Raw genomic sequence first — 14,496 nt, 5'->3', positions numbered from 1 at the left:
ATGACCATATGGTTCTCCAAGAACCAGGCATGAATCTGTATGGCACTTGCCAGTTGCTTGGTTTAAGGCTAAAGAGACAGACCCCTTCCCCTCTTCCAGGACTCCCTGTGCCCTCCTCCCCATCCCCAGTTCTTCTCTCCACCTTCTCCTCCCGAAAAGATGCATCCAGCCCTACCCCTCCCCAGTGCCCAGCACATCCCCTCCCCCATCTAGTGATCCCCAGTCCTTAGACCGAGCACACCAGCTCCTGTGAATATCCTGTCTCCCTCACTGGCTCGTATTGACTGGCATCTTAGTCTTCCACCAAACTAGTCAGTTCTTCCCATAGTCTAACCTCCATTCCTTCAGTTACAGCAGCTCGTTTTCAGTATCCTGCCAATAGTGAAATTAGAAACCAACCCTATCTGTAAACAAGCCACCCCACCAAAGGAGTTTCTCTCTCCCTCCCCAGGCATTTTCCCCTTGCAGGCCTTTCACCTACTTTACCATCCCCTAATTTAGCAAGCAGAAAGAGAACTCGATTTCACAAGCAGGATTGGCTCCCCACCATCGTTATTCCTTTTGTCGAGTCCCAGATGGTCCTCTCTCCCCAAGCCCTCCACCCACTCCCACAGGCACTTCGAGAGAAACGCGCCCTCCGGAGACCCTCTGAAGTCTTCAGTTTCCTCTCCCTGGCACTGAGGGAACACAGGACGGGTGTGCAGACTTCGTATTTCCCTCCAAGTTTTTACCTCCGCCTAGTGTTTTCCTTGCAAAGGAAAGTCCCTCTCGAAGTCTAACCTTAATCCCTCCTGCTGCATGCCTAAATCCCCTTTCCATCTTTTCTCTATAATACAACCCCCTTTAAAATCATAAATGCAATCTTCCTCTCGCGTTTAGTCTCCTCTCCTGCAGCGCCCCTCTACTTTCCTAGCCCCAACAACCTGCTCCGGCTAGGAGAAGTTCTTCCTAGCCACTCCCCACCCCAACGCCCTGCCCAAAACTCCGAGGACACTGAGGTATCTGCCTGAGCTGTCCACTACGACGGCTCCCGGGCCACGCCCGGACTCGGCGGCCCGCGGGGCGGTGACCCCCGCAGCCGCCGGTGCAGCCACGACGGGGTTAAGGTTCCGGGCTGGGGGAGGGGGAGGGGGCCGGGAGGGGCGGGTGCGGAGCCAATCGGCGGCGGCAGAGTCCCCGGAGCCGCGAGCTGGGAGCGCTGTGCCGGGAGCCGGGAGCCGAGCGCGCCGGGCTGGGGCCGGGGCCGGAGCGGAGCGGAGAGGGAGCGCGCCCGCCCCAGCCCCGAGTCCCGCCGCCTTCCCTCCCGCCGCAGCGCGGGCCCACCGGCCGCCGCCCCAGCCATGGAGCAAGACAACAGCCCCCGAAAGATCCAGTTCACGGTCCCGCTGCTGGAGCCGCACCTTGACCCCGAGGCGGCGGAGCAGGTGCGGAGCAGGGCGGGGCGGCAGGGCACTCGCCCAGCCAAGGACGAGGGACCCCTGGACTGGTGGGACCCAGGATCCCTGCCTAGTCCTCCCTTAGCAGTGCGCCCTTTTGAGGACGAACGCTCAGTTTGCGGGGGGCGGGGGGGGGTCTTCTGTCCCCTCCCCCACCGTCGGAGCCACATCTCGAATCTGTGCTTCTTTGAGACTGACCGAAGGAAGAGCGCCTCCACTCGATGCCTGGCCCCGCGAGAGTCGCTCTCTTCCTCCCCAGTCCTGGGGGAGGGGGCCTGCTTGAGGACACGACCCCTCCCTCCTTAAACAACCCTGCATCCCCCACCCAGTCAACCCCCACTAGAGTTTCTGAGCTTGGTGGTGGCGCTGAAGGGAATCAGCAGCAGTGCGGGAGGGGCCTGGGGAGGGGTCGGTAATGGAGAGGGAGCCTGGAAGGGTGGGAGTTGGAAGAGGAGAAACAGCTCTCCCTGTCCCCTCCTAACTGGGGGCCACCTTGCTGGGCTCCGAAAGTGATAACAGGAAGGGACTGAGGACCACTGAGAGGGCTGGGGCTCCAGGGAGAGGGGAGAGGGGTGGTCGAGTTGTAGGCTGAGGCTCCCTTCTTCAAGTCTCCGCACATGGCCCTTATTCCCAACTCCTGCCCTTTGGAGTGGGGAGTCCAGGTGGGACTGAGCCAGCAGCACTGGGAGGCCAGAGGTGGAGTCTTTCCAGGGGCTGGGGTCCAAGCTGAACAATATGCAAGGGAGAAGCACTGTGACAGCCTTGGCTCAAGGGGTGGGAGTCCAGGGCCCTGGCCCAGCCTCCTAGCCTGGTCTATTTTTAGCTCAGAGCAGCCTGGCAGAGGGGGCAGTGTATGAGAGTGTGTGAGCAAGTGTATGCCTCGGTGAGAGTGAGCGTATGTGTGGAGAGGGTGGCCACCCGTGGTCCTTACTACTCCTTGTTTGCCAAATATTTGCTTATTTGCCTATTGCTCCATCTCTTTGTAATCTCTGTCCATTTGCCTAGACATTCCCATTCCTAAAGAATATCAATTTCCCACAAGGTCAGTTCTCTGTTTCTCTCAACAAGCTGCCAGGCTCTGGCTGGCCACCCCCAACCTGAAAAAAACTTTGTGACCTCTTGGGATGAGGTGGAGAGAGTGTTTTTTGTCATTTTTGTTGCTCCAGCTGTTTGGTAGAATAAGGTCTGATGTGAAGGGAAGCGGGCAGGGGTACACACTCTCCCTACCACTTCAGCTTCCCAATGTGGAGATAGGGTTAGGTACCTGCGTCTCCGTCCTCTCTCTGGCCTGGGGTGAGCCACCACCTCAGAGCTCTAAGGTGTGACTACGGGAAGGCTCTTGGTGAAGCCTCACAAATCTGTAGAGGATGAGGAGGATGGAGAGCCATCAGCATGGGTTGTGTTCCCTGGGAGTCAGGGGAAAGGCTGCTATGCCTGGAGGCAGGGCATCAGCCAGGATAACCTCAGACCCAGGAAAAAGGGCTCAAGAGTCTGGACTGTGGAGGTTGGGGATGCAGTTCCAAGGAGAACTGCCTCCCACTGGCACAGACAGGGCCCGACACCTGTATCTGTTGGGTGTTGGAGGAGGCAGGTGTAGTAGGTGGGTAGGGAGGAGGAGGAGGAAGGCCAGCTGGTTCAGGGATCTAGGAGACAAGGGAGGGGCACAAGGCAATCCTGAGGAGTCAGAGGGAAAAAAGAGAGCCGGGACTTGGGCCTACTTTCACTAATCTTCAGAATTTGTGTCTCTTAGGCCTGAAATTCTTCCTGTGGCCTAACCTCAGCCCCTCCTGCTGTGTTAGGCAAAAAGCTCCAGGCTTGGCAGGTGCTCCTAACCCAGACCAACATGGGAGGGCAAAAGGAGTTGGAAGCTCTGAGTTATAGAGCACAGAGTGGCAGGCGGTGGAGGGGTGCCCACAGCTTCCAGATCCTTGGCATGACTGCTTTGGAAAGAAATCCGAGGCGAAGTTATCACATGCTCCTGAGAGCTAGGATTTGGGATAGGTATGAGAAAAGGAAAAGAGACCATCTACTTATTTCCCACTAGTTCAGGTGCCTGGGAGGTACCTCAGGAAGTCTGACTTTCCTCCTTCCTGCTGTAAGGGTATCACGATTCCCAAGGACTCTGAATGCTTAGAAACCTTGTCCAAAGCAAAGGAATAGGTCAAGGAAGTGATGTGTCCAAGACCAGACAGCCCTGCTGCCCTCTGTCATACTTGCAGTCTCTTTCTTGGGCTCCCCACTCTGATGTTATCTCAACCCACTGATCGCCACTCCACCCTCCTTGTCTCTTTCCTACTACCACCACCACACCCTGCCCCTCCAGGATGGAAAGAAGTAGAGGAGTCTTCTAGTTGAAGGATGGCCCCCACCCCATATACATGAAGCAGATGGTCCCCAGCCCATGTGTATCAGGAATGACCAGAGACGACTCACAGTTAATGTCTGTGCGGCTCATCCATGTGCACACTTACACACATACACAAAGGACTGGTACTGCGGGGACCTTGCAATGTCACCAAAAACAGATGCCACTGAATTCTCCTGGGAAAATGATGCCCTACCCCCACATACCCCCATTCTTTGCATCCTGTTTCTTCTTTGGAAAGAGTTCCCCCCTCAGGCTTAAACAGCCCATCTTACCATAGCCAGTACCCCCCACTTTTCTGGGCATAGAGAGGGGCAGTGTTCACCTCTGTCATCCCCCCACGGCCAGTGGTGATGATTCTAAATAATGGACATGCAAAGATAAGGGTTTGATCATTCAGTGTCCTCATCCTACTCCTCTCAGCCCAGGATAATTCTAGCCCTTTTCCCAGCCCCATTTGCCTTCCCTCCCCACTGCTAACCTAGAGGGTCATCCTCTAACCCCCATCCTTCCACTTGCTTCCAAGCCTCTAAAGCCTCCAGAGAAAGGGGGAAAACTACACCTCCCAGGAGTCCTTGAACTGACTTCAACAACAATCAACTTTATTGGCAGCGTGACAAAAGAACAACAGTGGGGGGAAAGGGGGCTCAGAGGCAGGGCAGTCAGTCAGCTTTATATGTTAATTTCTTAGACTAGGACCTGGAGCCTAGGATAAGATTTTTCAGCTACGCTTTGGGCCCTGACCAGGGTCCTGCCTAGGGCTCCTCCTTGTATTGATATTATATCTACCATGACAAGGATTCCCCCAACCCCATTTCTTGACAAATCAGAAAGGCAATGTATCCAAGGACAGAGAGGACATTAGGGAGTGAGGGGCACAGGCCAGAGGAGATGCACGTTCAGATCCTCCTCTGTGCTGTCCTCCCAGGCTGGGGGGCGCTTGAAAAGGATGCTCTCTCCAGGCGCTGTCACACAAAATGTTAACATCTTGCTTGGGGAGTGGGTTAGAACACTGAGAGAAAGCCCTGTGCCCTCTTAAGTTATTTCTGACCATTGATCCAGGATGGACGGAAGGACAGCAAGCCAGAGATCAATGCATTAGAGCAGATATGCTTAGATGGAGAGCTGGGGCCAGGACCAGGGGGAGGTGGAGAGACAGAACAGGGGAATGGGGGCATGCAGGGAGGCGAGGTGGTCTTCTGGATCCTTAGGATTAGCTCTCCCCAGGGGAGGGGGAGGAGCCCAGGGATGTTCACCCTGGTTCACCAATGTAACATGGCATTTTTTTTTCAACTTTTATTTTAGATTCAGGGGGGTACATGTGCAGGTTTGTTACAAAGGTTTATTACATGGTGCTGAAGTCTGGGATATGATTGACCCAGAGAGTGAACATAGTACCCAATAGGTAGTTTTTCAGCCCTTGCCCTCCTCCCTCCCTCTCTTTTATTCCCCAGTGTCTATTGTTCCTATCTTTATGTCCATGAGTACTCAATGTTTAGCTCCCACTTATAAGTGAGAACACGCAGTATTTGGTTTTCTGTTTCTGCATAAGTTTGCTTAGGATAATGGCCTCCAGCTGCATTAACATGGCATTTTTTGAGGTGTGTTAAGTAGGCTAGCCTGGATTATGTTACTGAGTGGTTTTGGGTGGGGCTTTGATGCTTCCACGTGTACTTGACCTCTTCCCCATTTCCCACCTTCCCTCAGATTCGGAGGCGCCGCCCCACCCCTGCCACCCTCGTGCTGACCAGTGACCAGTCATCCCCAGGTAAGCCAAGGGATAGGTTGCTGAAGGGCGTGGGGGCCACTATGGCAGCAGGTCCCAATGAGAAGATGGGCGCTAGATGGAAGAAGAACAGCTCTGAGAAGGCGGGGATGTCCTCAGTACTGAAGGCAGGAAGGTGGTGGCTAGATTGCAGAATATTCTTTGCTTTTGGAAAGATGGAGCAGTTCTAGGAAAGGGAGGGAGACCACCTGGCTCCTAAGCCCCCCAGGAATTGGGGTGGTCAACTGAGTGCTGGTTGCTGCGACAACAGCCTTCCAGATTTCTCCAGCAACTGAGATGCTGCCACCCCCACCCCCAGAGGCAGTGTCAGCTGTGAGGGGGAGGGACCGCCTCCACCAGCTCTTCACAGCCCCCAGAGGGGGAGGGGAAGGTTAGAAGCAGCTCAGGGAGCAGCTGAGATTCTGGTCACCAGCATCCCCATCGAGGTCTGGGGAGAAAACAAGTTCTCAGAGAATGGTAGAGAGCTTGACAGGAGTATGGAAGCGAGGGGGACAGGCTAAGAAGCTAGGCTGGGGTTCAGGATGCCGGGGTCTCCAGCTTGCCTCCAGCTATACCTTCCAGACCCTGCACAGAATAAATTGACTGTCCTCTATCACTGTTCCCTCCTATGCAGGGCTTAGTTCTGGCTGACCCTGGGGTGGGGGAATGATTGGAAAGAGAAAGAGACATGGATACTTCAGAGGAGGAAAAAAAGCAAAAAGACTACAGATCCTGCCTTTGGGGATCTCCAGGTCTGAGGCAAAGATGCAGACGCAAATTGACCACAGAGCCAAGGACGGGACTAGATGCAGAGGGATGGAGGCAGCGGAAGCACAGGAGAGGAGCTTCGGGGAGGAGGTCTGGGGCAGCCATGAGGGCCAAGAGCCTGGGGGCAGATGTGAGGGACAGATCAGGAGGAGCATGGCTGCAGAATCCCCTCCCCTGAGAAGTCAGCTCTATGGGGATCCCTGGTTTCCTGTCCTTATCACCCTCTCCTTTCCCTGTTCCCTTCAGAGATAGATGAAGACCGGATCCCCAACCCACATCTCAAGGTGAGCTGGCCCATCCCACTAAGCCCAGCCCAAAAAACCCCCACATTCATTAGGGGATTATTCCTTAAAACCCTGCCGCCCATCTCTAGGATCTTTTTGACTCCCGCTTCCCTGTACCTCTACCCCCCAAATGTGCATGAGTGAACATATACACATGCACCCCACACACACACACTCACATACACACACACACTCACAGTCTCCTTGCTCACCATTGTCGAGGTGGTTGGGGAAGCAGGCGTTTTCTTACCCCACTTTTTGAAGCTCACACCTACCCCAGGCTCCAATCCAAAAGCCTGGCAAGGCAGAGGAGGAAGGCAAGGGGGGCTGGAGGGCATGGGGGGCTAGAGGGCAAGGGAGGGGTCTGGAGAGCAAGGGGGGGCTGGCGCCCATCTGTGCTCTGTGCCCTTCACAGTCCACTTTGGCAATGTCTCCACGGCAACGGAAGAAGATGACAAGGATCACACCCACAATGAAAGGTTTGCAAGACCCCTCCCATCCCTTTTTCTCCTCTGTGCCTGAAGCTGAAGAGGAGACCGAATGCCCTTTGGAAGGGAGGTCGTTAAATCTGCCTTTATTATGGTAGAACTGTTGCTAGACGAACTGAGGCTGAAATCCCAGTTTTGCCACTGACTAGCTGGGTGATCTGGGAGAAACTGCTTAACTTACTGAGCCTTGAATACTACCTCATTATGGCAGATAAAATAATATATGTGAACTCACCGGCACAGTGCACAACATGTACAAGATACTCAAATTTTTCTTGAATCTAAATTGAGCCTTTCCACCTTCCCCCAGGGAAGACCATGTATCCCAGCAAGTGAGGAGTATCCCTTGTTCTTAAAGCCTCTTCTCCTATGCCTCCCTTATCTGTGAAGAAGAGTACTTTTTATGGTCTAGTTTTCATTCCTCCTTATTGCCAGCTAATGTCCCCTCCTTGTTCAGATCTCAGTGGATGGGAAAGTCAAACACCCAGCAATGTGTGCTGAGCCTTTAGTGGGGCTGTTGAATCCGGAGGCCCACAGGGGAGACGCTAGGCAGTCATATCCAGTGTTCCCTCCCTTTCTCTGTGTCCCCAGAGCTCCAGATGATGGTTGAACATCACCTGGGGCAACAGCAGCAAGGAGAGGAACCTGAGGGGGCCGCTGAGAGCACAGGAACCCAGGAGTCCCGCCCACCTGGGATCCCAGACACAGAAGTGGAGTCAAGGCTGGGCACCTCTGGGACAGCAAAAAGTATGTTCAGGCTGGGGAGGGCCCCAGGCATCCTATTTCCCAGCCCAGCAGGAGGCAAGCCTTACCCACTGCGGGGAGGGGAAAGAGTTGGAGCCTGGGAGAGGCCTAGTAGTAGGCAAAAACTGTCTCAAGGATATGGATCTGTTGGCATGTTCGGCATATATTTGAATCTTCACTTTTCCTTACTGAGTGACACCAAGCCCTCCCAACTTGAACCTCAGAGCCCCACTGTGGCTACATGGGGGAAACCCACCTTCATGGGAACAGCAATCACAGGCTAGAATCCTGGCTCGGCCACTTGCTACCTTACCAGCTGAGAGGCCTTGAACGACTTAACCTCAGGGTATAAAATGATAATGAGGGTGCCTGTTGCAGTGGGTTGTGTGTGACTATTAAATGAGACTGGCTGTTGACACAGCACCCGACACACACAGAGCATGCAATAAGTGGAAGCTGGTAGCAGTGCGCTATGTCCCTTATCCTAGATATATTCCAGAATTCAGAATGCTTCCAATTTTATGAAGATATAGTACATAAACTGTGTATCGCATAGTATTCCCGGCAGAGAACCCTACAATCAAACACATAATATTTCTGCAATCCAGTGAATGGTCTCACTAAGCAGAATAAAGACTAAAAACAGCCTCCTATGAGTTCATGTCAGGTTTAGACACATATTGAGTTTTGTTTTTTAAACTGTAGAGGGTTTATTCTTTCCAATTTGATTGAAGATTTTTTAAAAGTGAACATATAGTAGTAATTGTGATCAAAGAAAACCCTGTTGGTCTTGCCTGATTGCACCCAACTTGGTCCTGGGGCCCTCTCAGGGGCCACTGGGGTATGGGTGCAGTGAGGAGAAGCAGTTCCCTCCCCAACACCTTTATGAATGCCACCTCTTCCTCCCACCCCTATGTTCCCTCCCCAGAAACTGCAGAATGCATCCCTAAAACTCACGAGAGAGGCAGTAAGGAACCCAGCACAAAAGAACCCTCAACCCATATACCACCACTGGATTCCAAGGGAGCCAACTCGGTAAGACCCCAGGGCTGGGCTGCCAGGTCATAGGAGAGGAGGCTAATATTGTGGACAAAAGCAAGGGGCTAATATTTGGAGTCTAGGAAAAGGAAAACAAAGAACCAGCTTCAGTCCCTAAAAAGTTATTCTTTATGGTAAAAGGACTTGTATCTCCTCTGACAGACAAAAAGAAATGGATAGCTGCAGCAAGAAGGATTGAGATTAGACTTTGTGTAGGACTTCTGGCTCCTGGAATGGGTGAGAGCAGTAGGCCATGGATTTTTTGATAAAGGGGATTTGGAACCCGAAGGGAGATCCTCACCTGCCCAGCTGAAGTGGGCAGTGGCTCTCCCTGCCTGGAGGATGCATTGATGAGATAACTTCCTGAGCTTTGATTTCATAATCCGCAGCCCCCTGCATAGACTGGACACAGGAAGGACTGCTCTCAGACATCAGAACAAGCTTTCTGAGACATTAGATGTTGACAAATGGGATGGCCAGAAGGGGAAGGGACAAAATGACCCTCTGGCCTCTCACCTTCTCTTTCTGTCCCCTTTCCCCCATAACAGGTCTGAGAGAGGAGGAGGTATCTTGGGATCAAGACTGCAGTTTGGGAATGCATGGACACCGGATTTGTTTCTTATTCCTTCACTTTTGGGGAAAATCTCTTGTTTTTAAAAAGTGATAAATTTGGTGTTAGGTCCTTGGCACTTTCCTTCTTTTCCAACTGGGAGAATCCTTTCTCCCTGCCTTCTTGCCCTGCCCTCTCTGTAGCCCCCACCCTCCTGCCAAGCTGCCTCTGGGAAGGAAGAAACAGGAGCTAGGCAGAAGCCTTGAGCAGGGAAGAGTTCTTCCCTTAGCCCTGACTTTACTTGCTGTGGGAAGAGAGATGAGGGTCAGATAGGTGGGAGGACTAACTTCCAGGGTGCCAAGAAGGAAGAAAAGCCCCAGGTTCTCTTTTCTTATTGAGGAACGATCCGACCACCTCACAGGCCTGCCCTGCAGCTGGAAGACTCGGCGCTCTAAGGCCTGTGCCGTGTCCAGCTGTGACTGTGCGGTGGGCTCCATCTGCTGGACAAAAGGGGAACTGCACCATGGCACTTGGCCCATGGGAAAGAGGGTATGGTGGTGTGCCGATACCTCCTCGCCTGCCCTCCAAGCCCCAGCTGCCTTCCTTTTGGATTCCCAAGCTTCAGGATGTGTTCCCTCTTCCAGCTGTGGGACCGCTGTCCCTTATTTCAACCCGTTAGCAACAATGGATAGAGAACACAGTGGCTATTAATGAAGAGGCCCATGCTGGAGACTGGAAGGGTTCCCTTGTCCTAGACATTGAGGGGCCCAGATAAGACCAAAACCAAGCATAAGAGAAGAAACTGTCTCAGATCTCACGGCCAGGCCTCTCTCCTGCTGCTGTTTTTGATTTTCCCAGGTAGTGGGAGAGAGGAAAGGAGGGAAGGCAAGATTCTTTCCCCCTCCCTGCTGAAGCATGTGGTACAGAGGCAAGAGCAGAGCCTGAGAAGCGTCAGGTCCCACTTCTGCCATGCAGCTACTATGAGCCCTCGGGGCCTCCTCCTGGGCCTCAGCTTGCCCAGATACATACCTAAATATATATATATATATATATGAGGGAGAACGCCTCACCCAGATTTTATCATGCTGGAAAGAGTGTATGTATGTGAAGATGCTTGGTCAACTTGTACCCAGTGAACACACACAGTCAGGCCTGGTCTCCCTTCTTTATTGTTCTCTGGCTATAGCAGGGGTCTGGGAAACCAAGGGCAGGGGTGAGTCACATGCGTCTCTGCCCTTCTCGGGGTGGGGTAGGGTGGAAGTACCAGGGTAGCAGGTCTAGGAGACCATGGATGTGGATTTCGCATGAACAGGGCCCACTGTACAAATGCATGGTTGGTATTTACAAGAAAGAAGGAGGGCAGTCACCTGGACTTTGGCCTTTCCTGGGGCAAGGTGGGGGCAAGGAGGAGCCTGAGGAGAGGAAGGGGCACCGCGCCTGGCTGGGTTCTCTCCAGAGGACAGGAAGGCAGCAGCCCTGAGCCCCTTGTCCATCTGCCTTTCACCGACTACCCCTCACTTGTCTCAGGGGAGGAGCTTCTTAGTGCCTGCAGCTGGGCCAGTTCTGGGACGTGGAGAGGAGGGGACAGACCCTCTCTTTTAGCAATGCAGGATTACTCACCCTCCCCAGGCACCCTTGACCCTAACCCAGCTGGTGTCGATACATTCTGAAGGTGCTTTGCTGGGGAGATCCTCAAAGCACTTTACAGACATTGGTCGGATGGAGCCTCCCAGCCCCAGGGGAGAGGAAGGAGGCAAAGGGCTCCGGACTCAGGGCAGGCGACAAGCCCCAGGGGCCCAGACCAGTCCCAAGGAAGGTCCCAGGAAAGGCCTCCCGCAGCCCCTGGTCACAATGGCTCCTTTTGCCCCAGTCACTGTATCAGAAAGGGAGGGAAGGAAGATTCAGAGGATCAGGCTGGAGATGGGGCTGAAGCAGCGCAATTCTGGGGTGAAGAGGATGTCCTCTCCACCCCATTCCCAGGTCCTAGAAAGGTACCATGCCCTGAAGGAATCCACTCCCCTCCCCACACATAGGGCTCTGAAAACCCCCAGCTTTCTATCCTATTCCAGCCCTTCCCAGGGGAGGAAAAGGGGCACCCAGACCTGCCAGCTAAGATCTGGGGTGGGGGGCTGAGGGAACCCCCAAAATGTATTGCTTAGAAACTTGGAGGCAAAAAGGATGGGGGAGGTCCCAGGGGGCTGGCATCTCTGACCCTTCCCCAAGGCCCTGGGAAGCCTCCAGGAAGCTCCCCGCTCCCTGGCAGCCACCTGGCCATGAAGAGAATCCAGAGGCTGAGGGATGGGCACAGTGACCACTGGGAGCCTGAAGTTCCCCAGTCTTGCTGCCGGAACATTAAAGTGCACCCCAGTGGGTGTCAGGTGGGGAGGGGCCCTTTCCCCAACCCCAAATCTCTGGCATTTGGCCTTCAGGTGGGTTGTTTCTTCCACGACCACGCTCCCTTGGAGCAGATGGGGGAGCCAGTCCTGATGGATGGTGCTGATGACATCAAACACTTTGGACTCAATGAAGACCTGGGGAAAGAGGGAGAAACTTCAGTGCCCTGAGCTTTGCCTTCACCTCCAACCTGACCTTCCTTCTCCAAGTCCTGATCCCCACTCAGTCCCGAGTAGAGCTGTGCAAAAAATGCCCTTCAGAAGGGTGCCCAGCCAAGGGGGTGAATAGGGGCTGAAGTCGAAGTCACGTTCAGCTGCCCTCACTGAGCTGTGTGCCCTGGCTGGGCTCCTTTTCCCTAACCCTCCCTAAGGTGCGGTGCAGGTTAGCTGTCACCTGGCATGGGCCCACCCTGTTCTGCTGCTGTTCTGAGAAGGTACCTCCTTTGTTCCTGCAGGGACTGGGGGACAGAAGAGCGTGGGAGGATTTCCCTGCTCCACCCACACTTTGGCTCCATTCTATGTCTTCACTCGCTCCATTTTACTGCTCAAAAGGGGAGAGAGAATGTCGCATCCACTGGAGCCCAGAGACGACCCAACAAAGATGCCATGATAGACACCAGCTCTCCTACACCCTCCACCACAACAGGCTCACCTGGGCCAGCCCCAGGGCTAATCCAGATTCCCATTCTGGTTGTGTTCATCTTCGGCAGGGGATGGGGGGGCCTCTTCTTCACAGGGGGACAGCTCGTCAATGGACATCTGGTTGGTGATGCCTGTAGAGGAGCATAAAGGAGGCTGAGCTTAGGCCAAGAAGTATTCTTCCCCAGAACCCAAGGAGTATGTGGAGACATGTAAGGGATTCTCATCCATCAACCTGCCTTCAAGCTGAACTACATTCAACCCATCCCCACTTGGGAAGAGCCTCTCCAGCCTTGCTAAAACTCAGAACCCTCAACACCACCCTACCACCCCCTCACACAGGAAGAGATTTCCCAGCCAGGGCCACCAAATTAGCCAAATCTACAGGGGCACCATTTACAGGGACCACAGTGTGCACAGGGACCCTTGGGTTGTGGAATATCTGACTGTCTCTATCATCTCTACGGCCCCCATTCTTAGAACATTCCAGGCCACTCAGCCAGTCTTTCCTGTGATCTAACTGGTCTGATCAGCTCCACTCCCAAATCAAGGAGTCCGGCAAAGGGTTTCCCCAGGGGCTTAAGAAAAATGGACCTCCTAGTGCTCCATGATCCACCCACACAAGTTCTCACCCCTGCCCTCTGCCATGGTACCCACCACTTGCTGCCCGTTCCTTCCATTTCTGCTTATTCTCCTGAATGCGCTTGACCCAGGTGGAACGAAAGCTGACCACATCAGGGTTGGGGTCTCCCACTTCCACATCCAGAGAGGGCTGGCGCCACTGAAAGCTAGAAGCAGAACCCCCAAAAGCCGCAAGAGGTAAGCCCCAGCCCACTCCAGAACCACCTTAGCCCTGGGAGTGCAGGACATGGAAGACCAGGAGAAGGTTCAGGGAACTTCATCTTCCTCTTTTCCTCTACTAGATATTCCCCAAGTCCCTGTCCCTCTCCCCCTCATTTCACCCCTCCCTCTCCACATCTTCCCTCCTGGTAGAAGGAAAATTAAAACAAGATTAGCCAGAAGGCAGAAAGACAGCTAATGGAAGAAACAAAAATATGGTGAAGGGGAGCATAGGTACAGGTCACACCCTTCTGATCCCATCCTTCTGTCCCTGACGGCAGAGGGACTCCCAAGCTTGAAGCAGTCTGCCTCCCCACCACCCCACCATGGCTGTGAGTCGGTCCTCTCTGTGAGTCCAAATCCCTCCCTACCACTGCCTTCCTGAACCAAGATATCTGGCTACCCCAGCCACCCTCACCTGGGCTGGTTTTTAGACTTGGAGTCCTCATCCGCCAGGGGCTGAACACTCTTCTCTGCCACGTCAGTCAGCACAGAGAATGTGGGCTCCACAATGAAGTCGATGAACCCTGCAGTGGAGGAGCAATGCCGTAGAGATGTCTTACTATTATCTGGAGGGCTAGGCAGAGCATGCAGCTGGCATGGCCAGGACCCCTGGCTGCTTATGAAAGAGGATGGAGAGGTAACCTGGGGCTGAAAACTTCCCAATGCAGGGCAGGCTTTGGGATGATGTCTTGGTGCCCCAGAGAGCTCCTTCCTGCCATTGCAGCCCCCTGGCCTCCTAACCCAGGACCCCATGCTCTAGCACAGTAGGCTTTCCTCTACAGGAAGAATGGTTTGGGGGGATTGAGGACTTGGAGCAATCCTGACCCAGGCAGCATCTTTTCCCCCTCCCAGTCCTCCCCTTCCTGCAGGAGAGGACACTCACCTATCTGAGACTGTGCCACTAGAGTGGAAGTGCGGTCACAGAGTGGAGAAAAGGGCAGGCCCAACTCTGCCTCCTTGTCACCCTAGAGGAGGGAACAGGGTAGGAAAGCTGGAGAGGATACCTCAGACCTACCAGATCTGGGGTACAGGTGGCAAGTGGTGGGGGTGGGGGGTTGTTGTGTGAAATTTCTGCACTGTTGACCTGGAAATTAGTAATATGCAAATGAAATATATGCAAATGAAATGCAACTATTGTTAGGCTTTTAGGATAATGGGGTTTTACCCCAAGGATTTGGGATCA

The 14,496-nt window shown here is 53.8% G+C and overlaps 2 protein-coding genes across 12 annotated transcripts in view; one reads left to right on the top strand and one right to left on the bottom strand.

The window, feature by feature from the left end:
• The first annotated feature begins 1,169 nt into the window (after positions 1-1,169).
• Positions 1,170-10,583, top strand: PPP1R1A (protein phosphatase 1 regulatory inhibitor subunit 1A). Of its 3 annotated transcripts, NM_006741.4 has the most exons (7): positions 1,170-1,424; positions 5,509-5,569; positions 6,581-6,618; positions 7,034-7,097; positions 7,698-7,853; positions 8,779-8,885; positions 9,437-10,583. In NM_006741.4, exons 1-7 carry the CDS (start codon positions 1,341-1,343, stop codon positions 9,440-9,442), a joined length of 516 nt encoding a protein of 171 aa, NP_006732.3. In that variant the 5' UTR covers positions 1,170-1,340; the 3' UTR covers positions 9,443-10,583. The 3 variants fall into 3 exon arrangements, with proteins under 3 accessions (NP_006732.3, XP_005269052.1, XP_006719534.1); XM_005268995.5 differs by lacking the exon at positions 7,698-7,853; XM_006719471.5 differs by lacking the exons at positions 7,034-7,097; positions 7,698-7,853.
• The window catches only part of PDE1B (phosphodiesterase 1B), a 29,639-nt gene continuing 25,732 nt past the window's right edge, over positions 10,590-14,496 (bottom strand). For all 9 annotated transcript variants that reach the window (NM_001288768.2, NM_000924.4, XM_047428970.1 and 6 more), the window contains 5 exons: positions 14,197-14,278; positions 13,729-13,837; positions 13,128-13,258; positions 12,484-12,604; positions 10,590-11,969 (listed from right to left, as the gene is read on the bottom strand). In NM_001288768.2, the coding sequence (NP_001275697.1) occupies positions 12,501-12,604; positions 13,128-13,258; positions 13,729-13,837; positions 14,197-14,278 (426 nt within the window). In that variant the 3' untranslated portion in view covers positions 10,590-11,969; positions 12,484-12,500. The remainder of the gene's footprint in view (positions 11,970-12,483; positions 12,605-13,127; positions 13,259-13,728; positions 13,838-14,196; positions 14,279-14,496) is intronic.

Source organism: Homo sapiens, chromosome 12, assembly GCF_000001405.40.
Source record: "Homo sapiens chromosome 12, GRCh38.p14 Primary Assembly".
NCBI classification, from domain to species: Eukaryota; Metazoa; Chordata; class Mammalia; order Primates; family Hominidae; genus Homo; species Homo sapiens.
This window is presented reverse-complemented; position numbering and strand designations above follow the sequence as displayed.